This window comes from Homo sapiens, chromosome 9 (assembly GCF_000001405.40).
Source record: "Homo sapiens chromosome 9, GRCh38.p14 Primary Assembly".
Taxonomy (NCBI): domain Eukaryota; kingdom Metazoa; phylum Chordata; class Mammalia; order Primates; family Hominidae; genus Homo; species Homo sapiens.
In genome coordinates, this window is record NC_000009.12 from 89,049,276 (window position 1) to 89,073,771 (window position 24,496).

Consider the following 24,496-nt stretch of genomic DNA (forward strand, 5'->3'; position numbering starts at 1 on the left):
CAAAACAAAACAAAACAAAACCAGAAATGATATGCCAATACTTGCATTTGGAGGCGACATTTTTCTCAGTGGATAAGATCCTGTCTACTACATTTTCTTTCCCCAAAAGTCCTTCAAACTTCACTACATACAAACACATACAGAACTTCATACATTATGTACACTGCCAGAGAAGTATGGTAGTTAAACTAACTCCCTCCATTCATTTTTGTGTGTATTATCTTAATAGCATTTATTTGGCTTTTATTCAACATTTCAGAAACAAAGGCTAGCATAATAATTAATATGAAATATACTTATGCATCCCCCATGGAGATTAAATAAGTGTTAACCTTTTGATCTATTATGTTAAATCAAGTTTAGCCTAAAGCTACCTCCTTACGTATTTAAATTTGGCCTAAAGGTTTCTCTGTAAATCCTGAACTATACAAGTGGAGGTGTAAACAGACTGTAGCCTACTCTTGTGCCAATCACCGAGTTTTGGCCAATCAAATGCGGCCAACTGTTCCAACTGTGTTCAAATAAGGCAAACGCCGAGCTGTAACCAATCCAGCTATTTCTGAACCTCACTTCCATTTTCTGTAAGTCATTTTCCTTTTTCTCTCCATAAATCTTCTTCCACTACGTGGCTGCCCTGGAGTCACCGAGTCTACTCTGGCTGGGAGGCTGCTCTGTTTGGGAATTGTTTATTGCTCAATTAAACTCCTTTAAATTTAATTCGGCTGAAATTTTTCTTTTATCAATTACATGCTTCCCTTTTTAATAAAATTTGTCAAACTTACGTTGGATGGATACATAGATATGTGATATTATAAGTAAAATGTTAATGGTAGAAGCTAGATGTTGTCTATACAGTTCTTTGTGTATATTGGAACATTTTTATTATAAAATGGTGTAGGGGGTATATGCTTGACAAATACAGTCAAATGCAACCCATTTACCCACACCTCTGTCCTGTCTTCAGATATCCTGGAGTTGTGTATAGCATTTTTGCATTTTTTTGTTGTTGTTTGTGTGTTTGATTTTCTGAGATGGAGTCTTGCTTTGTCACCCAGGCTGGAGTGCAGCAGCACAATCTCAGCTTACTGCAACCGCCACCTCCCGAGTTCAAGTGATTCTCCTGCCTCAGCTTCCCAAGTATGTGGGACTACAGACATGCATCACCATGCCCAACTAATTTTTGTATTTTTAGTAGAGACGGGATTTCACTCTGTTGGCCAGGCTGGTCTTGAACTCCTGACCTCAGGTGATCCACCCGCCTTGGCCTCCCAAAGTACTGAGATTACAGGTGTGAGCCACTGTGCCCGGCCTTGTGTATGTTTTTATAGTCTTTCCATACATTTATTTATCCATATACTATATATGCAATCATTTATGTTTTCAAAATTTTCATAAATGGTTCATATCCTTTTGTAACTTGCTCTTTTTTATTTCATTATAAATTTTGAGATTTATGCTGGTAGTACATGTATATTGGTGAATTCTTATTAACTACTATGTCCCATTATACACAAAATAAAAAATTTGTTTCCTCAGTCTCCTACCTACATTTGGGTTGCTGTCACTGTCTGCCTCTAACTCTTCTATACACATCCTCCTGTCCCAGCTTGCTGAAGTTTCTTTCGTTCTTTTTTTTTTTTTAATATGATGGCCATAAGGGAGAATTGAATTCTAGCATTTTCAGCCTCTGGAGTGAAGTTTCTAGCAATGTGGAAATGGTGGGTCCTGCAGAGGCACCTCCAAAATGAATGTCTTAAACGGAATTTTCCAGGGAAAGAGGAAAAGAAATGAAAAGTCTCTTTGAAGAACGGCAAAGACTGAGAAGGGAGATGAAAGAAGTCTTCATAATCATAAGAACAAAGGTAGAGTCTGACTCTAGAACTAAGGCATAGAAGAATGTGGCTTTAGAAGTTTGAAAAAAGTATAGAGTAAATTTAGGAACAGTAAAGTTTTGTTTCTAGCGATCACAACATTAGAATAGATTTTCATTATGCAAGTTCAATCAAGGACAGAATACTGAATGACCAATATGCCCCATATTACTTTTCTTTTAATGCTTGATGCTGTATGGAATATTCTTACATCCTAAGGAAACTCAGTGATAGAACCTGAACATTTTTTATAATAAACTAAACATCTCCCAATTCCTCTTCACACTCACTATTTTGTTAAACACTGAAAAAAAAACCTAAGGTGCCATTCTTATTCCTACTTCACAGATAAAGCTGCTGAGACTCAAGGAGTTTACAGAACTTGCTCAGGGCCACCTGGAAGGTAAACAAACTACCAAGCTGTTAAGCTGCAAAGGCCAGCGAAGCCGAAACTATGCCGGTAGCCAGCACAGTGCCTCACGGAGGGGACCTCTTGTAGCACGACTTTGGCTAATCGTAACGACAAGGACAATGGGACACACAGAACCGGTGGTAACATAGACCCAAAGAGGTGACATATGGAACCATCACATGGCTGCAGAGGAAACAGAACAAAAAAATTTATAATGAAGTCGCTTTTCTGTAACCTTGGCGACCGTCACTATAGTTTCAAGAAAATGTTTTTCTACACATTCAAAGCATCATCCATATGTTGGCTTCCATCTGTTGGCTTTCTGTGCCATATCCCAGCACCGACCAGGTGTCTCTGAGCCCAGGAAGCCCTGTGATTAATTGTGCCTGTCCAGAACACAGCTCAGGGATGTGGTTTTAAGAGGAAAGGTCATAAAACCCACATAGGCTATTGCAAATGGTGTCACAGCACTACTCACCGATCATGGAGAGCGGGAATCTTGGTAGGACACTGTAAATATTGCTTAAACCGGAGCTCAAAGGCTTGTCCGATGGAGCCGATGACATCCTGGGCCAGCCCATCACAGCATTCCAAAATGTGACAAGCTGGGAAAGCAAGTGACATGGGCCTATTAGAGACAGACACTGGTGCTACCTGGGCTCCTCTACAAAGAGCCCTTGCTGAGGACACAGGGACAGAGAGGTGCATGCTTCTTCCATAATATGTCCTAGCAGATCCAACCACAGCTTTATCTCCAGGTAGGGAATCCTACAGCTATAACATCTCACAATAGGCATGCATTTCTTAATAGCCTATTGTCTACAAAATTATAGGTTTCATTTTTAAATAAATTAAAGATTTTTCAAGTTCAATTTGATGTTCTTCAATTTCTTTAGTCTATAAAGCATCAATTCTGACATCAATAGGGAAAAATTGTTTAGAAGGAGACTTCAGCACGACAAAGAGCCTGATCTCGACATGAACTAGGTCCCTTCAAACCCATGAGGCCTTAAAAAATGGACTGAAACCAGCATCTGTTGAGTGAATCTTGATTTATTCAGTGGACTTAGAGCAAGTAGTTCACTTGCTTCTTAGTGGGGGTAAAGTGTTGATCACCATATGTGGCCACTCAAAACAATAAGGAAACCTTTGAAGATGAATATAAAGAGATATTAATTATCAGTGTGACCATGCCAATAACATGACACATGCATCTACGTAAATTTGAGACTGGTTATTCATGCAGATTCTCAGAAAAGCAGCTTGTGTAAAGAGTAGATAAAAGTTAGGGGTGGCGGTAGGCCAAAATGAGGCCTGGTGGTAAGGCCTGGAGCAGTCCTTATGCTTGAAGCAGGCACCAGCTGTTACACAAGGACATGATGTCCTAGTGGCAAGGCTGCAGGATTATCTATGTGAAACCTTCAGAGAAAAGAGGGCCAGCCTCTGCCTCATAAGGAAGTAGTACTTTTTCTCCAGGGTACTGGAAAATACCTCTACTCTCCAGACCCACTTCCACCGTGCCCTACCATAAGCGTCCACATGTCCCTCCTGAAGGAGCCACAGGGCTGTCGCCATGAGGAGCCTAGCATGATCTTTTTACCAATGGGATAAAGGAATTCTCAGGAATTCCTGGGAAGGATGACAGCTGCCTTCATCACACCCCACCATTCTCCTGCCGACAATCGTATGCCAAGGAGGGTTCCTCCAAAAGCCGCGTTGGTCCCTGCAGTGAGGAGGATGCATTTCTTCATGAGTTGTTGTTCCCCAGCCCTGGCAGTGATTAGGGAGACACTGAACTGTGCCCTCCCTATAGGAGAAGCCAGTACATACTGGAAAGATGAAAGCTGTCAGGGAGGGGACAGAGAGACAGACACGGATGCCTCTGCACAGTGTGGAGCCTCTCAGCATAATACGGCACTGGGACTTTACCCCGGAGGCAGCCAGCTAGGCCCTGGGGCCTCAGCTCCTTCTCTCCCAGACTCCAGGGCAGGGAGACTTCTGTGGACACAGGAAATGTATTTCCTCGGAAGAGCAAGTACAAATGTATTTCTGCTTTGGGGGGCAATGCAACCCCTTGGATACGGCAGTGTTATTTTAGATATTGCCAAGAGATGTGTCTACAAAGGTTCAGACATCCTGGTTGTCTTCTGATGATCAATTATTGATATTATTTTAGTATTGACATTATTATTTACTAAGCATTGCCCCCAGGTAGTCACAAAGCAATGCCAAGCAGCTGTTACAGTTGTGCAGGTCACTGACTGATACAAATGCAACCATCTTTCCAGCTAAGAAGGAAGTAGGAGTCCAGGCCTGAGCAAGGGAAAGCCAGTGAGACACCTCGTTCCCCTGACCTGTCCTGTGCCACGCCCCTCCCGGCCCTGCTGTCCAGCATCAGCACCAGCCAACAGGACTGGTTGGTCGGTGTTTTGGAGAATGAGAAAAAAGACTGGAAAAGGGTCAGAAAGGGTAGCCTGTTTTTTTTAAGGAGAAAATAGGTATCCTAGCCTTTAAGATGAAGAACGAAGAATACGATTTACTGAGAGTGGGCTGTACAATCTCATCCACATGCTACTAACCTTCTACACACCTGAGAGCATGAAGCCTGGGAAGGGGCCTCTGTGGGAAAGGTCCAGGACATGTGGAGCAGGTCAGGGCTTGAGGTAAAAGCACTCTAGCATGCTGAGAAATGGGCATGTTACTCCAAGTGACTAACTCGGGGGCAGGCCCTGCAGATTGTGAGTAGACCCATGGACTCTCGGGAATTAACTCATGCCTGCAGCTCCTGGCACCTGGCAGAGTCCTCAATGAATGGAGAAAACAAGTCACCTGTTGCTTTGGTCTGAGGATTCCTTCTATAAAATGGCCTCTACATGTTCCAGAAACTCACTCCAAAACCAGTTAAACCTGGACTTTGTCTCTCTGGGCCTGGTATTTCTTCTGAGAGTATTGACACTTAGCCAAAAGCCACAATCTTCTAGCCTGCCCTGTGTGATTTGATGTGTGCACTAAATAATGAGGCCTTCCCCAAAGGCAGTCATCCAGCCTGCTGGGCTTCACCTCTCCCTGAGGAAACAACAAAACCAAAGATGTCATTCACAAACAATGGAGAAGAAACCAAGAGAGGTATGCAGCCCATTCGTGCACAGAATCGAGATTCCAAATGACGCAAAATCTAAAACATAGCTCAATGTAAACAAGGTCAGCAAGACAGGGAATTCCACAGTCCTCATTTGAGGAAACTGCCCACTGGGGAAACTCGTACCAACAGCCTGCAATAGTTCATTTACTTAAAAGCAGGGATCCTTTGCTGACACTGGTTTCTCTCTTATTTTGCCCCGCCAATAAAAAAAGCTGAAGCCACTCTCTAAGAGCACTAGCCCAAGCTGCCCCGGAGCAGCCACCTGAGCCATGACATCAGCAAAGGGACTTTCAAGAGCTCACATCACAAGGACTACTCCATAACTGAGATGGGCAACTTGAAAGCAAACCACTCCCTTAGGAATGTATTGTGGCTCTGTAGTCACACTGTAGTAGCTGGGGATGTGGTGGCTTTCAGCCATATGGTAGCTCCTGGCATGTCCACTCACATCTCCCGCTCCCTGAAGAATGGTTAACAGTGGTGAATGAGAAGGCAGTACCTAGATGCATCCCAATCCACCAGACTTCCAGTTCTCAGCTTCCTCCTCTCCCCAAATAAGCCCAGAGGCTAGTAGCTGCTCCCGGCTTGGCGCTCAGGACTGGCCCCCGGCCATCTGCCTGCTGCAACAGGGCATCCAGTAAACTGGTGTGAGGCTTGTTCATCTAAGCACGCTCTCAACACCCTACCTGTGACACCTATTCTGTGAGTCAGGGTGGGCAAGTTATGCCACAGTAAGAAACAATCCCAACGTCTCTGGCTGAAATCAACCATTTCATTCTTGCTTACTCATTTCTGGGCACCTCTCTAAGGCAGCCATCCTCTTGTGGTGCCTCAGTGGCCCAGGCTGGTTTGATCTTTTGATCTTGCAACTCAACGCAAGGCCTTTCCCACAATCTGCAGAAGAAACAGACAGCAGGGCCTTGCACCAGAACCAAATGCACCTTCTGTTCTGCTCTTAGCCCGTCACACAGAACTGTCATGGGCTTCTCCCAAGCAGGAGGGGGCTGGCAGATGCCATCTTTTGCAAGTTTGGAAGGATAGGAGAGCAGGATATTAGGAATGCCCATCACACCCACTGAATCCCTTCTCTAAGTCACAGTTATCCATGCTGCTTCTCACTCATGCCTACCACAAAGAACTTTCCAACCATGCATCCCCAATAAGTGTCTATTTGTAAATTATTAACGTGCATTCCTGTATTAATATTATGTGTATCATAAAAACATCTTTTAAAAGATATCTTTTGTCTTCAAAAAGGATGCAATAAAGAGAAAAATAAAAATTTAAGCTGTCTTGTTAGCCGTGAAAGCATTACTCTGTCAGTCAGTATCTCAAGACACAACCACATTAGGTGTGATCTATTGTTATTATGATGGATAAAAATTCATCTTTCCATCCTGGAGGTACATTTCTTAATCATCTTGAATGTGGAAGGGCTGATTTCTTATCTTATATGAATAGATGATCAGTGTTTTTACTGTGAAATGCAGCCTGTGAAGTTTTCAAAATGGAAGTAAATGTTATCAGCTCTTCCATTTCTTTTCTTTTTCTTTTTCTTTTTTTGAGATGGAGTTTCACTCTTGTCGCCCAGGCTGGAGTGCAATGGCGCGATCTTGGCTCACTGCAACCTCAGCCTCCTGGGTTCAAGCCATTCTCCTGCCTCAGCCTCCCGAGTAGGTGGGATTACGGGCACCCACCACCACACACAGCTAATTTTTAGTAGAGATAGGGTTTCACCATGTTGACCAAGCTGGTCTCGAACTCCTGGCCTCAAGTGATAAAGTGCTGGGATTACAGACATGAGCCACCATACCCACCCACCTCTTCCATTTCTTTCTTATTTGTTTGAGCTGCCATGATGGGTGTAATCCCTAATGTACAGTTTCTCTCCAAGAGGTTTAGTTCAGTTAAAACTAGTTCACACAGCTGAGAACCCACTTTGCTTCGCCGCTCACCCCACATCCCAGCACATGGGCTGGCAGCAGAGAGCCCTGCCTGCTGTGCAGCCATCCTGCCCTTCCTCTGCTATTACGGGCTAAGATCGTCCTGTTTCCAGATTAGAACTGTGAGCCAATGCTCCAGCCTTCATGTCCCACACAGTGGGCTGTTTGCACACTTCTGGCATAGGCCATTGCCTCGGCAAGCTTTGTGTGAACAGCGAGACCCTGCCCAAGCCAAGGCAAAAAACTTATCGGGATCCATGCCCCACTTTCAGGAAGCCACACCCCAGCCTCACACTTCATGGGTCCCAGGTGCTGTCCATCAGCCTCTCCAGGGTGGCTTGGCTCCCACAGTCCATCTGGGGTTCTCCAGTGGCTGCTGATCCAGACACCAGTAGCCTCTGATCCAGCCACATTCCAGAGCAGCTGGCCAGGGCATGGGGAACCTTGGAGATATTCGAAGTCATTACTCAAATGAGGAAATGTCCTGCTCAACAAGGACGGCTGTCTTTTCATCTTAGTGAGCTGATAACCCACACACCTTAAAAGGAATATCAAAAACGAATGAATTCTACCAGAGAGACGAGGGCTCCTCAATCTCTGACTGGTCAGACAACCTTAGTTTGTTTATTCAATGTAGCCATGCACTCTGAATTGATCCAGTTTTCCTTTTTCTTTTTTTTTTTTTTTTTTTTAATCAGAGAAGAGTAAGAAATCCAACATTCAGCCACCCTGCTATGATGAGTTTCTCAGTACATGTCCTAGCCCCAGATAGGGCAAATTAAAGTAATAAGGGTATAGCATTTTGCACCCATCAGATTTGTGGGAATTTAAAAGTCTAAAAATGCCAATTGTTGAATAAAAGGAGACTTCATATACTACCCTTGGAATTATAAAGTAAAATGACCATTTCAGAAAAGTTGAGGATGTCCAAAACAGTGATTTGGCCTCCAGGTACATAGCCTAGGGAAATTCCTGGACGAGAGCACAAAAAAAAACATATACAAAATATTTACTGAAGACTTTATTTAGCAGACATTTTTTGAGCATCTACTGTGCACAAGGCCCTGCCCTAGGATCTAGGGAGAGTTTCAGTGGACACTGAAAATAAATAAATAAAAATATACCTCTGTAGTGGATTGAAGGGTGCCCTCCTCCCCGCAAAAGTCATGCCCCCTGACCATCTGGAACCTGTGGAAAAGAGTTTTTACAGGTGTGGTTAAGTTAAGGATCTCGAGATGAGATTATCCTGGATTAGGGAGGGCTCTAAATCCAAGGACAAGTGTCCTTATAATAGATGAGAAGAGGGGCCCAAACATATAGGAAGGGGAGGCAGAGAGAGGACTGATGCTGCCACAAGCCAAAGAATGGCTGGGCCACAAGAAGCTGGAAGGAGTCTCCCCTAGAGCATGGCTCTGCTGTTGCCTGACTTCAGACTCCTGGCTTCCAGAATGGTGAAAGAATCAATTTCTGTTGTTTCAGGCCACCTAGTTTGTGACATTTTATTATAACAGCCCTAGGAAATGAACACAGCAAGGAAGACAATGTAAAACAAAGAAGATGGAGGATGGTGGTGGAGGACATGGTGGAGGATGGTGGTAGAGGATAGTGGCATAGGACGTGGTGGAAGATGGTGGTGGAGGACGGTGGTGGAGGATGCAGTGGAGGATGGTGGTGGAGGACATGGTGGAGGACGGTGGTAGAGGATGGTGGCGTAGGACGTGGTGGAGGATGGTGGCATAGGATGTGGTGGAGGACAGTGGTGGAGGATGTGGTATAGGATGTGGTGGAGGATGGTGGTGGAGGATGATGGTGGAGGATGGTGGTGGAGGATGATGATGGAGGACAGTGGTGGAGGATGTAGTGGAGGATGCGGTGGAGGACAATGATGGAGGATTTACATGGTGGAGGTGTACATGGTGGAGGATGCTGGTGGAGGATGTGGTGGAGGATGGTGGTGTTAGGACGTGGTGGAGGACGTGGTGGAGGACATGGTGGAGGACAGTAGCAGAAGATGTGGTGGAGGATGGTGGTGTAGGATGTGATGGAGGGCGGTGGTGGAGGACGTGGAGGAGGACAGTGGTGTAGGACATGGTGAAGGGCGGTGGTGGAGGATGGTGGTGGAGGATGTGATATAGGATGTGGTGGAGGATGGTGGTGGAGGACATTGTAGAAGACATGGTGGAGGACAGTGGTGGAGGATGGTGGTGTTAGGACGTGGTGGAGGACGTGGTGGAAGACATGGTGGAGGACAGTAGTGAAGGACGTGGTGGAGGATGGTGGTGTTAGGACGTGGTAGAGGACGTGGTGGAAGACATGGTGGAGGACAGTAGTGAAGGACATGGTGGAGGACGGTGGTGTAGGACATGATGGAGGGCGGTGGTGGAGAACGTGGTGGAGGATGTGGTGGAGGGCGGTGGTGGAGGACGTGGTAAAGGACGTGATGGAGGATGGTGGTGGAGGATGGTGGTGGAGGATGTGGTGGAGGACGGTGGTGGAGGATGTGGTGGAGGATGGTGGTGGAGGACCGTGGTGTAGGACATGGTGGAGGACAGTGGTGGAGGACGGTGGTGGAGGATGGTGGTGGAGGATGTGATATAGGATGTGGTGGAGGATGGTGGTGGAGGACATTGTAGAAGATGTGGTGGAGGACATGGTGGAGGACGGTGGTGGAGGACGTTGTGGAGGATGGTGGTGGAGGACGGTGGTGGAGGATGTAGTGGAGGATGCGGTGGAGGACGTAGTGGAGGATGCAGTAGAGGATGATGGTGGAGGATTTAGTGGTGGACATGGTGGAGGACAGTGGTGTTAGGACGTGGGGGAGGACATGGTGGGGGGCGGTAGCAGAGGATGATAGTGTTAGGACGTGGTGGAGGATGTGGTGGAGGACAGTGGTGTAGGATGTGGTGGAGGGTGGTGGTGGAGGACGTGGTGGAGGATGTGGTGGAGGACATGGTGTAGGACGTGGTGCAGGGCGGTGGTGGAGGACGTGGTGGAGGACGTGATGGAGGATGGTGGTGGAGGACGTGGTGGAGGATGGTGGTGGAGGATGGTGGTGGAGGACATGGTGGAGGATGGTGGTGCAGGACGGTGGTGGAGGACGTGGTGGAGGATGGTGGTGGAGGATGGTGGTGGAGGATGGTGGTGGAGGACGTTGTGGAGGATGGTGGTGTAGGACAGTGGTGGAGGATGTCATATAGGATGTGGTGGAGGATGGTGGTGGAGGATGGTGGTGGAGGACGTTGCAGAGGATGGTGGTGTAGGACAGTGGTGGAGGATGTCATATAGGATGTGGTGGAGGACATAGTGAAGGACGCAGTGGAGGACGATGGTGGAGGATTTAGTGGTGGACATGGTGGAGGATGGTGGTGGAGGATGTGGTGGAAGATGGTGGTGTTAGGACGTGGTGGAGGACATGGTAGATGACAGTAGCAGAGGATGATGGTGTTAGGAGGTGGTGGAGGATGTGGTGGAGGACAATGGTGTAGGACGTGGTGGAGGGCGGTGGTGGAGGGCGGTGGTGGAGGATGTGGTGGAGGACATGGTGTAGGACGTGGTGGAGGGTGGTGGTGGAGGATGTGGTGGAGGACGGTGATGGAGGACAAGGTAGAGGATGTGGTGGAGGACATGGTGGAGGACAGTGGCAGAGGACAGTGGTGTAGTACGTGGTAGAGGACGTGGTGTAGGACAGTCGTGGAGGACATGGTAGAGGACGTGGTGGAGGATGGTGGTGGAAGATATGCTGGAAGATGCTTGGTGTAGGATGGTACACAGGATGATCAGGGGAGGTGGCCCTAGAGGCGGCACTGGAGAAGATACCTGAAGCGAGTCAGGGAGAGAAGTCCAGGAAGGCCGGTGGTAGAAGGCAGGCACAGGGCCCAGGAGGCAAGAGCTTGCTTGGCACGGTCAGGGTCAAGGAAGACCCAGAAGCCAGTGTAGCTGGAGTGGCAGGGAGAGGGGATCATAGGAAGTGAGACGGGATGGAGTGGGAGTGAGCTCACAGAAGGTCCTGTGGGTGTTGGGGGAATGGGACATTTTATTTGGAGTGAGCAGAGAAGGAACAAGATTGCATCATTTTAAAAGGATCCTTCTGTCTGCCATGTGGACAAAAAACTTTAGAGTGGAAGAGCGGGCACAGAGTGACTGATGATTAATTATGGAGCCTGTCAGGGGGCAGCAGGGCAGTGGCAAGAACTGGTAAGATGGAAGGCTTTGCCGGCAGGTGCAGGTGAAGGAAAGAAGGCAGAGAACTGGGGAAGTCGGGAAGGGGTTGCGGTTGATAGAAACCAGCAGGTGCTCTTCAGGAGGAAAGTGCTGGACCTATCTGTGTCTGCCTATGTTTGAGAGGCCTGTGAGACTCCCAAGTGGAGACACAGAGCTGGCTTTCAGGCAGAGGCCAGGGCTGGAAAAATATGTTCAGCATTCTCAGCCCAGGCATGGTACGTAAAGCACAGAGCCTGGCTTTGTTTGTAAAAACACTGCTCATAATAGCCAAATGTGGGAAACATCCAACCATCAGAAAATTCACCTCCTGCCACAGTGTCATTCGATGGCATATTTAACCACCTGGTTAAAAAAAATAAGCCATTGCTTTCACCCATTATACACTTGAGGCTTTGCTGCCAAGGGAAAGAAAAGTTAGAAGCAGTGCTGTGTTACTTCCACCAATGAGTTCAAAATATTTAAGGCCTCTTTTAGAAAGTCACCTCTTGGGGCCTACAGCAGTCCAGGGCCAAAGGAAACAGAAACTCCTTTTGTTGAAACCACCATATTCGAGAAGCCCAGAAGAGGCAAGCTTGGCTGTGTGAAGCATTGTCTTCCCCATGTGGGCTTCCCACTCAAGCCCACTCACTCCTAAGACCTCCTGTTCTCCAGAAAATCTTGGGAAAAGAGCAGCAAGATGTCTTAGGAGCCGCTGTTCAGGCTGGATATGTAGGCTTCTCTCCCATTGGGTCAGCAGCACCTAAGCATAGTCATCACGGTTTATCCGAAGTTTGTGCCTTCCACAGTTTCAGTTACCCATGGTCAACCTCAGTCCAAAAACAATAAATGGAAAATTTCTGAAATTTACAGTTCATAAGTTTTAAATTGCACGCCATTCTGAGTGAGTAGTGTGATGGAATCTCATGCCATCCTGTCCAGTCCTTCTCAGGACGTGAATCCTCGCTCTGTCCCAAGTATTCGCACTGCATATGCTACATGCCTGGCACTCACTTAGTAGCTGACTCAGTTATCAGATCAAAAAAACATAGTATGTGTAGGATTTGGTGCTATTTGTGGTTCCAGGCATCCACTGGGGGACTTGGATGGAATATACCCCCACAGATAAGGGGGAACTACTATATAGGAAACAACTTTCCATGTCTTGGTTCAGGGAGTACCAGAGGGCGCCTGATCAGGGATACTATTACAATTATAAAGTATACGAATTACATGCCTTCTGTAGGCAGTCGTATGCCTAATTTGAGCATCATTTGGTAGCTACTTTTGTGACCTAAACAGTCCATTTGGAACTGTCTAATATATACATAAGGTTGCAGGGCATGGGAGTCACCCGGTAGTAATGAAAGTTCCAATGTAAAAAGAAAATGATATGTTAGAATTTAGCAAAGCCTGACTTGTTGGGAATTGCATCCCTACAGGTGCCAGTAGTCATCACCTAGGCCTCCTATGGTCCTGACTTTTAGCTATAATTTATCAACCTTGTGAGACATGGCTCATTTTCCACCCTTATCTCTTTGAGATGGTGGTGGTGGTGGTTACCATCCAACTTAATGACTTGGGTCAGGAACCTTTTGTCCTTTCACTGGATTAACTATAGAAGCCATGGATTCTTGATACCAGAGAGACAAATATAGATTCTCATTAGAATTATTCTAGATTAACCACAAACACATATAAGAATATAGAAGCAAGAATCAGCACGGAAAAAGACAAACAGTAACAGCATCGAGGGACTTGAACCCGTAACTGTAAAATTTTACAGAAGACTTTCTGGGATGCATTCTGTCCCTGATGGTCTTTAGGGGCTGTGCCTGCAGCCACAACACTACAAGGTCTGCTCATACACAGAGGGCTAGAAGCCCCAGTGTGGGGACTTTTAAGAGCCCAAATAAGAACATTCACACCCAGAATTTCTTGCTACTCTGCCCAGTGGTAGAGGCCAATCTTCCTAAATTAACCCCTGTACATGGCATAGGGGAGGAAGAAAGAAAACAGAGCAGTTGGGAGAAAGCCCTGCCACTGGCTCCTTCATGGAGGAAGTCATCCTGGTAAGGACACTGATGAGATGGAGCAGAACATGCTCATAGCTGGGCTGCTGGAGGGATGCAGTTAGATCCACCCTCCCTGCCCACACTGTCATCCGGTAGGCTGGGCCTCCTCACACATGGTGAAAGCAGGGTTGAGGGGTAAAGATGGCTGCAAATTCCTTGACATTCTTTCCTTGAAGGGTACATGTGGCTTCCTTCCCCCTTGAGTCTGAGCTGGCTGTGACAGCTTTTTTTTTGAGACGGAGTCTCGCTCTGTCGCCAGGCTGGAGTGCAGTGGTGCGATCTCGGCTCACTGCAACCTCTGTGTCCCAGGTTCAAGCGATTCTTCTGCCTCAGCCTCCCAAGTAGCTAGGACTATAGGTGTGCACCACCACGCCCAGCTAATTTTTGTATTTTTAGTAGAGATGGGGTTTCACCATGTCGGCCAGGCTGGTTTCGGTCTTCTGACCTCATGATCTGCCCGCCTCGGCCTCCCAAAGTGTTGGGATTACAGGCGTGAGCCACCACACCTGGCTGACAGCTGTGACTAGTAAATCTATGGCAGAAGTGAAGCTTAGCCCGGCCTTTCAGAGCACTGGACACATCTACTCTGGGTCTCATGGAACCTAGAGCTGCCATACAGAAAGCCCTACTTCCCAGAGGGATGAAGGGGCCACTTGGAGAGTCTCTGAGACTCCATGGAGAGGGCTGAGCCTCTAGTCATCCTTGCCAAGGTCCCAGGTGTGGAAGCAAAGCCAATTTGGACCTCCTAGACCAGCCCAGACTCTCTAGCTAAAGACCACTCGATGACCCCTGTCGATGCCACTTGGGCAGATGAACTGACCAGCTGACACTTGCTTGAATTCCTGACCCACATTCTATTATAATAAAATGGTTGTTGTTAAGCCACTAAGCTTGAAGTAGTTTGTTACAGGCAATAGATAGGTGGGAACACAGAGTGAGTATCTCCCACTAACTGTCTCAAACAAAGGGCCTGTCTTAATCAGCTGGGACTGCTGTAACAACACCACAGGCTGGGTGACTTCAACAACAGACATTTGTTTCTCACAGTTCTGGAGGCTGGAAGGTGCCAGCAGACTTGATGTCTACTGAGGGCCCTCTTCCTGGTTTGCAGACGGCGCTTTCTTGCTGTGTCCTCACATGGGTGGAAGAGGGTGAGGGAGCTCTCTGAGGTCTCTTTGACAAGAGCACCAAACCCATTCACAAGGCTTCCCCCTCATGACCTAATGACCTCCCAAAGACATCACCTTCAATTGGGGCCTTTAATTAATGCAATACCATCATATTGGGGGTTTCTATTTTAACATATAAATTTGGGGGTGACGTGAATATTCAGTCCATAAGAGGGCCCCTGTGTTGGTGGTGCCCTCAAGCACCAAAAATGGTGGAGATCTTTTTCTGCATCACAGGTCTGGCATTTGTCTTCACAGTATCACCACATGCAAACCTGAGAGAGCCTGGTGAGGCAGCCACGGGACATGTGGAATCGATCCTGATTCCCATGTCGCTGGACAGGAACTGTATTGTGGGCAGAAAGTACTCTTGGTTTGCCCCTGAGAAATGAAGTCAATGACTCGGGGCTAAACTCCTTCAGGATCTGGACCTAAGCCTTATTTCCTAGCTTTGGCGGTACCTTGGAATCATCTGAAGAGCTTTTAGAAAATTGTATTGTCTGGGCCCCACTCTCTGAGGCCTGAGCATTGAGGTTTTTTTAAGCTCCCCAGGCAGTGGCGTGGGGGATGATTCTCCATAAGGCCGCATCATGGATCAGTTCATCTCTTCCGTATGGGCTATCTTAAAAATATATCCAAGGTATAGCATTGGAGGGTAAGGTAGCAAAACAGAATATTAGGATCTCATTTGTATGAAAATGTTAAAAAGAGAGGGTATGTATACGGATAAGCATTATGCAAAGCAAACTAGAAAATCTTAGTTGGTACCTGGGGTAGGGGGGTAGTGAAAGGGAGTGCTGTTTTGTGCCGTTATTAATTCCATTTGTTATTTCATCAATGAGTTTTAAATTGCAGCTGTGGTGTGGTGCATCAATAGCTGCCTGGAACTCCAGGGTAGTGCACCTTGGTCAGTCCCAGCCACCCCAGGTATGCTACCATCCAATGGGCTTTGGTTTTATAAATGACTCCCCCCATCCAGCCTGTTCCTGAAGACTTAGAAGCTGAAAGGGATATAATCAGACAGCGCCTGAGCTCAGACACTAACCTCTAGGGCTGGCAGGGCAGAGTGAAGTAGCTAGGGGTGGCTTAGTGGGCACTGGGCACACACCAGGAGCTGAAGCTGGGCAGGAGGACAGGCAGCAGGTGGTCTTCCAGGAGTAACCGAGGCCACTGTCAGAATATGGGCAGGGGCTGTTTGTGTGTAAATCAATTGTACCAAACCAGCTATCTGGATACAAGCGTGTGTTTGGTGGTCAGAGAGGTCCGGTACCTCCTAACTCAGCCAAGCGATCTACAACCCTTGCAAACCTCATTCATCCTTAGTAATACAAGATGGCACTACTCATTTGTTGGGAGGGGGCTGAGATAACGAGGACCAGCTTGTATAGAATGTGAAGCCTGGCTGTACACAAACAAGAGATTAAAGGGGTCAAGCACCGCTTACCTCTGCGATTAACAGGGTCCTTAGCCACATATGCAACATAGTCAGTTGTGTCCTGTTAAAGAAAAAAGAGATGTCTATGTCACTAATCACAAGTGAGAGACCACACAGTCAGGGACACAGGGCACAAACCAGTGAGCTTAGAAGGACTCAACCACCAAACAGCTAAAGAATCAAATGCTGCCTAAGAAACAGCCCCCAGAAGATTCAAGCTATATAATGTGGGTAGCAACCACCCAGAGGTCTCACATTGCAGACTTTGACTCAGCAGGTCAGGGGTAGGGTCTGAGGTCCTGTACTTCTAACCAGCTCCCATGTATACTGAGGCTGCAGTGTCTCAGTATCCCACCGGAACTGGTTAGAAGTCCACTTACACTTTGAGCAGCAAGGAGAAAAGGCATGTTGGATCGCCTGAGAAGCTTTAAACACACTGATACCTGCGTCCCAACATGCAGATAATCCCATTTAATTGGTTTGGATGTGAGGCCTGTGCATTCGTTTTTAGATGCTCCCTAGATGACTGTAACGTGAACCACATGTTAAGAACCACTGCTCTCAGCTTTGTCTACACCAGTGGTTCTCCAATTTGAGCTGGTATCAGAATCCCCTGCAGGGCTTGTTAAAATAGAACGCTAAGCCATACCCCCGAGTTTCTAATTTGGTAGTAGTTCTGGGGTAAGGGCTCAAAATTTGCATTTCTGTCAAGTTTCTAGCTGCTGCTGCTCTGGGGGCCACACTTTGAGAACCACTAGGCTAGAAGAAAACCAGAGTGGATGTTCAAAGGCTGACTGCAAATGCTGCCTTCCTGGTGGATGAGATATAATGGTTATTTTCTTCTTGGACATAAATAATGATCTTAATACTTTAATATGTTTTAAAAATATGAGCTCTATTGAGAAGTCTCATCCTTCCATATGAAATGTGAGTTTCTTTGCCTGCCTTCTCATATAATCAGTGCATAGGGAAAATGATGACCTCAAAAGTAGACCACGGCAACCATATGCATTTTAATTCATAAACAAATAAGCAGAGAAACCAATAATTATCTTAACTCCTGAAAGCAGAAAAGACTCCTCTGCAAAGTTGGTATTTTCGGCATTCAAGACTCTGTGGGGCAACTGATAAAAGTCTACCTCATTTTGGCAGACATTTCCCATATGTCATTGCTTTGAAGGGCTTCCAGGTTATTGATACGCTCCCGATGTTGCCAGCACCTAAAAGGCTCTGTCGTGACTTGCTCCACTGTTTTCTCTATGGGCAAAGGAGACATCCCCTTCTCTCTCAACAGTGCCCTACAAAAGCTCTCCAAGGAGAGAGAGATGAGGGAGAGAATGAGTATGGGGTGGCCATGTCACTGTTGTGGGACATCTGCTGTAGGTTCAGGTGGGTGGTGCTGGGCACTTTTCCACACCCCATCCCGCTGGATCTTACACAGCCCAACAAGACCACACCAGTGTAGCATTCTTCCAGCAGCTCTTGAGACAATGGTGCTGCTTCCCCGGTCATTCTGCAGGGCGTGGCTCAGCTAAGCTGTTTTCTTTTCTGCTCAGGACACTGTTCCCTGGTGTATTCACAGGCTGACTAGGGAAAGGAAATGAAAGATCGTCCACCTGGTCAAACTGGCTTCTGGTCATTTCCATCAAGGAGGATCCAGTCAGAATCTGAAGTTATTGGCAAAAACAAGGATAACAGCTTGTAATCATAGGCACTTCCTGAACTCACAAGACGTGAATGTCAGAAGGATCCTTAGAGAGCATCTAAGATAGCACTAGATTTCAAGCTGAAATTCATAGAACCCTAGGGTTGGACAGGTGTCTTCTCCAGTGTTTGAGGTGGCACCAGCATTTTAAAAAATTTTTATTTTCATTTCCATGATTATCTTAAAATTAATATAAGAGTAACTGGGATCATTTAGGTGACCACTGTGTTATCAAGTTCTGCACACAATTTCAATGCCAGGATTTGCAGCTGGATTTCCAACATTATGATTGCTAGGTTTTCAAAGAATTAGAAAGAAAAGGACACAGGGTAGATTTCTCTGCCCACATAAAGCAAATTGACATTATACTTGTACATGATGTACAACTGAAGTTTCTGCTTGAATAGAAGAAATTAGTGGAAGAATTGAGTCATCCAGGTGCCCATGGTAATGAAGAGACATTGAACTTAAAAAATTCTGCCCCATGGTGGCCAGGCCAGCATCACATTCAGATGGAGATTTAGTTTCAGCGAACTTTGTCCATCATAGCAAAGTAATATTACATTGAATGTCATTGGCCTTACAATGTTTACTTGTATTTAACTTTCAAATTTAAGTAGGGGGAGAGTTAAATAAAAAGTATAAATAAAAGAAGTTTATTTTTAATTTGTTTTTGCACATATTCAGGTAACAAAATTAGAGTCAGCATTAGTAATGAATACAAGGAATATATTTTTTTACGTTCTTACTCTGGCTCAAAGTTGGGAAAGGAGGGAGAATAGAGAGACATAATATGTCCCTGTCTCTCAGATGGTCAATGGCCAAGCTTTTCTGATGCCAATATTGATCCTTTTCTGGCAGAGCAGGCAAATATATTACCATTCAAAACAATATTCTTGTCATCAGGAAGCACTAAGTTCCAAAGACAGAGCTGAGAAGTGCTGTTCTGCATCTATTCTATACCTGTTCCCACTCCCCAAGACCCCCTGTGCCTGGCCATTGTTCTGGCATTTTTGTGGTGGTCTTTTAACACTGCTAATTACAGTAGATTATAATCACAGCATGCCGTTTTTAGAGAGGAATTAATAAAGTTTTCTAGTCTATCTTGTTTGCTATTTCAAAATACCATTTTCCTACTGGGTAAACTGAGGCACTAAGCAATAAGTGACATGTACACTTAGCAGGAGAACAAGGACTAGAATATAGAATTGTCAGCTTTATTAAAAATGTCTACCAATTATAATGTGCTAAATTCATGGTTACAAATCAATTTGGAATGTAATCTCATGCACAATATAAAATGCATTTGGATTGGTTAAAATGGAAAGTAACTAGGCTTCCTGTCCTGTGTTATGACATTTTATAAACCAGAAAAAAGAAATCACAGAAAATATAAAAGGTTGTGGATTACTTTAAGGATTACTAAATGTTTCCAATTTTTTTTAAAAAAAAATAAGATGTGATGAGGAAATCTGAAAAAAAAAATGTATAGTCCTATGTGCATCCTGAAAATAAAATAGTTTTGACACAAACCAATGTAATTGGCTCCCAACAATCTAGATATGTGTGTCTTCACTCATAATGTCAACATTAAGACAGGTTTAAGAAGAGCTCTTGAAGGAAGCTGTTAATGCAAATATACAAGACATCTGCCTTTTATATGTCAAACTGGGTTATCCTCCAAATTTAAGAAACTATGGTTCCAAACATCACAAGGGGCAAGCAATTAGACAACCACTGCAAATTAGGTAGCAAATAGGTGGACATACACATATAGACAGCATCTGAAGAAATGCACCTTGGGCCAGGTGCAGTGGCTCATGCCTGTAATCCCAGCACTTTGGGAGGCCGAGGTGGGTGGACCACTTAAGCCCAGAGTTTGAGACCAGCCTGGGCAATATGGTGAAACCCTGTCTCTACTAAAAATACAAAAAGTTAGCCAGGCATGGTGGTGTGTGCCTGTAGTCCCAGCTACCCATGAGGCTGAGGTGAGAGGATCACTTAAACCTGGGAGGTCAAGGCTGCAGTGAGCTGTGATGGCGCCACTGCATTCCAGCCTGGGTGACAGAATGAGACCCTGTTGGATGAGTTCAACTGGGGAAGACTTCCACTTTCTGAATATGCATCTCAATAAGGACTTTCATCTTACAATAAAGTGTAAGAAATTATAAGGATTAGAAAGAAAGGAAAGGCATAGCAAGGGAAGGGAAGAAAAAAAAGAAGAGAAAGCCATTGTGGTTGACTTTTGACAAGAAGATCGAAAGTATGAAAACAAGGCCCAAGCCACTTGACCCTATGGAATGGCAGATCTCAGGGCTAAACAGTGCTCTGACCATCCTTTGACAATTAAGCAGAGATATAAGGGCAAAGAACCATCTGCTGGGTGGGCAAATACCTTCCCCTGCAGAGTGCCCTTGGCTCAAGGGTCTGAGATGGGGTCACTGAGAAGCAGCAGGGCCCAAGCCTCTCCACGGCAGCTCGTGCTGGCCCAGGCAGGAGTGATGCCCAGAATGGCCATGATGCCTGCCTCTGGCAGCTGCCACAGCAGGGCAGGGAGAAGTACCACTTCCCTGTTGCTGAGATTCGTGGCCCAATTGTACTGTCCTTTGGAAATGTCAAGGCTCTGGAGTCTACCTTTGACATTGCTCCTTCAATTTGGCTTCCAATGTGCCAACAGCAATTTTCTAATCCAGTTTCCAAGGTAGAAGGGGTATGGGAAGAAAAGGTAGAAAAGTCACAGGGAAAAGTTCCTACTTGTGCTAGTAAAACACAGGGTCCTCAACCTTGAAATGAAGAGATCTTGGACCAGTAAACCTTTATGTAACATCTGAAGATTGCCTACTCATAATTTGGCTAAAGAATGCAAAATAGCAATAATAACAAAAACACCACCTCTAGGACATTATTTTATATTAAAAGGCTATTGAACACAAAAAAGTATAAAAGATGGCTTCTTAGGATATAAGATCATTTTTCAATTGAATAAATTTAGCTCCAGGAAAAACTCAATCTATTATCCTAATTTTAAAACTTTTCTCCAAACTGGTGGAAACTTTACCCAGACGCATAAAAATTAAGATGAGAACTTTCCGGAGGGTGAGCCTTCTTCCCTCTCCCTTCTGGAAAGGGCTGACTTGGCTTTCTTCCCTTTGCCCTCTGTGCCTCACTCCTTTGTGACCAATTTCCTGCCTGGTTTCTTTGCAGGCCCAGGCTGTCCACAGTGAGCAGCCAATTTGTGTGTGGATTCCGCCCTGTCCCGGGAGCGGGAGGTGGTTTTCTGAGTTCAACTTCGTGACAGTACAGTTTAGATGACATGGCCACTCTGAAGCTGGATGCTGACATCCTATTGTAGCATTCCCGCCCAAATGTGGGAAGCAAATTCCCTTGTTATTCCACCTTCTTCATTAAAGATGTGAAGCAAAAATAGAACATTCTCATTCTGTTCTCGAGTCTTCTTCTTACTCTCTCTCTCTCTCTGCAACTCCCTCCTTGTTGGCAAAGCAAACTATTAAAGGCTGCAGTATTACACTGGGAGAGAAAAATGCTGATTTTAAATGCTTATGAATAAAGCAGACTAAGAAAATTCACATTCTTCAGGCAGACTTAAAATATTAATATGGAGGTCCAATAAAAAAACAAAAAGTAGGGCAAGAGCCGAGTGACAGCGTGAGAAGCCTGTGGCAACTCTGGGGCCAGGGGGACTATTTCATCACCTGGTAAGAACGCCAGTGCCTCCAGGATTTTTGACAGCTTTTGGCTAATGAAATGAAAACTAATGGTGGGGTCCTTGTCACAGCTTACCCCTAAAAATAAAACGATGGCCAAGAAGATCTTCTATGGAAATCAGGAGGGGGAAATTAGTTGCCATCACAATTAACCTTTTTTACAGTGTCTTGCAAGGCATATTATTGAAGCAGGGGTCCCTTCTCAGAAATTCCCAACAAGAGCAAGAGACCAACCCCAAGGGTACTTACCGGGTCTCCCCCAGAGGCGAAGGAGATGGACCGCATGTGGTGATTCGCTATGATCTGCCAGGCCCAAAACAAGAAACGAGATGTGCTGTTATCGCCCTTTCCACATTTTGGAAAAGCAACTGTTTGTTGGCAGGCATTACAAATTGACATGTTTTCCTGAAAATTGGTATCTATATAAAAATAATGATTATAAAAGTAATAGCAATAGATCACCTTTCAAAATCTGATGGCTGCTGTCCAGCTGCTTTGCCAGAATAGTGTCCGTGAAGCCTCGCTGCAGCCTGTGATGTGGGAACTATCGTCATCCCACTTTACAGGTGAGGAGCCAGAACCCAGAGGGGTCAAGTGGCTTGCTCAAATTAAGACAGCTGGTGATTAGCAGAGCTGCGATCTAACACGGGGGCGTATAGAGCACCCTTAACATAAGTGACTCCATCTTAGAAAAAGACTCCATCTTACATTTCAAGAAGCAACATGCCAACAGGTACCAGATGTTTGCCTAATTAATGAAGATGGCACCCAACAAGATAAGGACATAAAAAGGCAGACTCTTTTACTATCAGTCCTCACCAGAGGACTCTGGTCATAAAAAGGAGGACTTCACCAGCTTGAAACAGCCTTCTTAACAGACACCGTCTTGCTGTCACTGGTGATAAGCAGCCAGCATCTGCCAACGAAGGCTCTGCCCACATCAAAGACTCTTCCTTGCAAGACATTGTTGTGCATCTGGATCAAGCCAGGACACTCTCTTTGTCCACATCACTTGCCCCAGACTGGTTTATTAATCCCTACTCCTATCTCTTTTTCTCTTGATGCTAAATGTTACTTGGTTTGATGTGGAATGTTTAATCTGTAACATTTATATACTGATTAAGTATACTCTTATGTATGGTTTGCAATATTGACTGACCTGTGGAGTGGCTTCAGTCTGTGTGCCCACAGCTCTGATACAGAGTGAACTCCATGTAGCTCATGGTTTTCATTATTAAAATAGCCTCAATAAAAGTCTGACCTTGTGGAAAGACACAAATGTGCATGGACCTGGTTATGTCTGACCTTGAGCTGCTTATGACAGGGAGGCCCACCCCGAGGCCAGGGTCTTAACAACCATGCCTCTTCCAGAAGGAATCTGTCTCACCCACACACCAAAACATCTCAACTTATAGATTATGTTTCCAAAAACACACTGAGGTCTCTGACACAGAACTCACAGCTAGAATGGGGGGAAATGTGGCCCATCTTCCATTTTATCCCATTAGAAAGCCAGCATCCAAGATTCCAACTCGGCGCCATCTAAAGCACTCTTGTAATTTATCAATGTAAAATCCAGAGCAGACAATCCATGTTAATTTTGAAATGGGAAATTTCCATTAGCTTTATAAACTGCAGCGTACAGTGGAATTTAGTAGACACTGAGTAAATTAGAAGCTGCCCTAAATTTAAAAAGCTACATAAGTCTTCCATGCTAATTTTATCTTTTTAAAGACAATGTAATGACATTGAAGTAAATTTCCGGGGGTGAGAACAGAGCTCATCTCTAACCCAACATAACCAGGTTTAGTTCTGCAGAGTCCCCTTGGGCCCTTGTCCTCGGGCAGGCAGTCAGGATTTATATAGCTATAATCATACATCCCAGGGATTTGTCCAAACATGCTCCTGTAAAACTTGAAATAAAATATAATTGAATTATAATAGAAAATAAGATAGTTTTAAATGCCTACTTTGGTTATTGGCACTTACAACACCTCAGGATCTAGAAACCCCTGAGTACATAAGTGAATAGAGAATGAGGCTGGCTACAGAGGCTGCACCCAAGCCCCAGCTGAGTTAAACTAAAAACAGTGGTCTTTGCAGCTCTCTGGAATCTTCCCTCTGGCGCAAAGGTAGAGGGCTCCTAAGAGAATAATGAGGAAATAGCAACCACCAGGAAATGATAAACTATGGCTCTCAAAGTTTTACATTTTTGCTTATTTAATTTTTGCTTATAAGGCAGGTCTAAAACTGGAGTTTGGAAATTAAATTGGAAGCTGTGATTTGGAAAAAAAATGAAAGTCATATTTGGTTGACGTGATGCGTGAGCCTTATTGTGTGATTGTATGTTATCTCTTTGGGTAAGACAGAAATTGAAAACCAGGGTAAGAAAATTAGAGCTAATTGACCTAAATCACGTGTTTTGCCCTGAGGGTGTTGCATCTCATTTCCACTAGGAACTCTGTAGAGGGGAGCGGCTGTTGTCTTGCTGCTGTCTCACTGGATGGAGAAGGGAGTGTCTAGCCAGGCTGTTCTCAATTTGCTACAGTTGGGCCCAAAAGTCAGCTGGAAGGGAGAGTCAGAACCCTGTGTGCTTGCCCCCCACCCAACCTTCACACACTCATCAACCAAACTACCAGTCCCCTGGGTGTCCAGAACCTGCCACTTTGCCCCATCCGCCCAAACCAAGGGCAGGAAAACATGAACTGGACACCTGCTTCGGCTGCCATGTTCCAGGACAGAGAGGGCCAGCCCAGTCTCATCCCACTGCTCTTAGTTTGTTTTCTATTTTACTGAGGTGGGAGGGGAGTTCAGGGAGAAGA

General features: G+C 45.5%; 1 protein-coding gene across 1 annotated transcript in view; it reads right to left on the reverse strand.

The window, feature by feature from the left end:
- Window positions 1-24,496, reverse strand: part of SHC3 (SHC adaptor protein 3) — a 173,048-nt gene that overhangs the window by 43,505 nt on the left and 105,047 nt on the right. The window contains exons 5-7 of the mRNA NM_016848.6: window positions 21,924-21,977; window positions 16,254-16,305; window positions 2,762-2,888 (exon numbers count right to left, since the gene is read on the reverse strand). Coding sequence (NP_058544.3) covers window positions 2,762-2,888; window positions 16,254-16,305; window positions 21,924-21,977 — 233 coding nt within the window. The remainder of the gene's footprint in view (window positions 1-2,761; window positions 2,889-16,253; window positions 16,306-21,923; window positions 21,978-24,496) is intronic.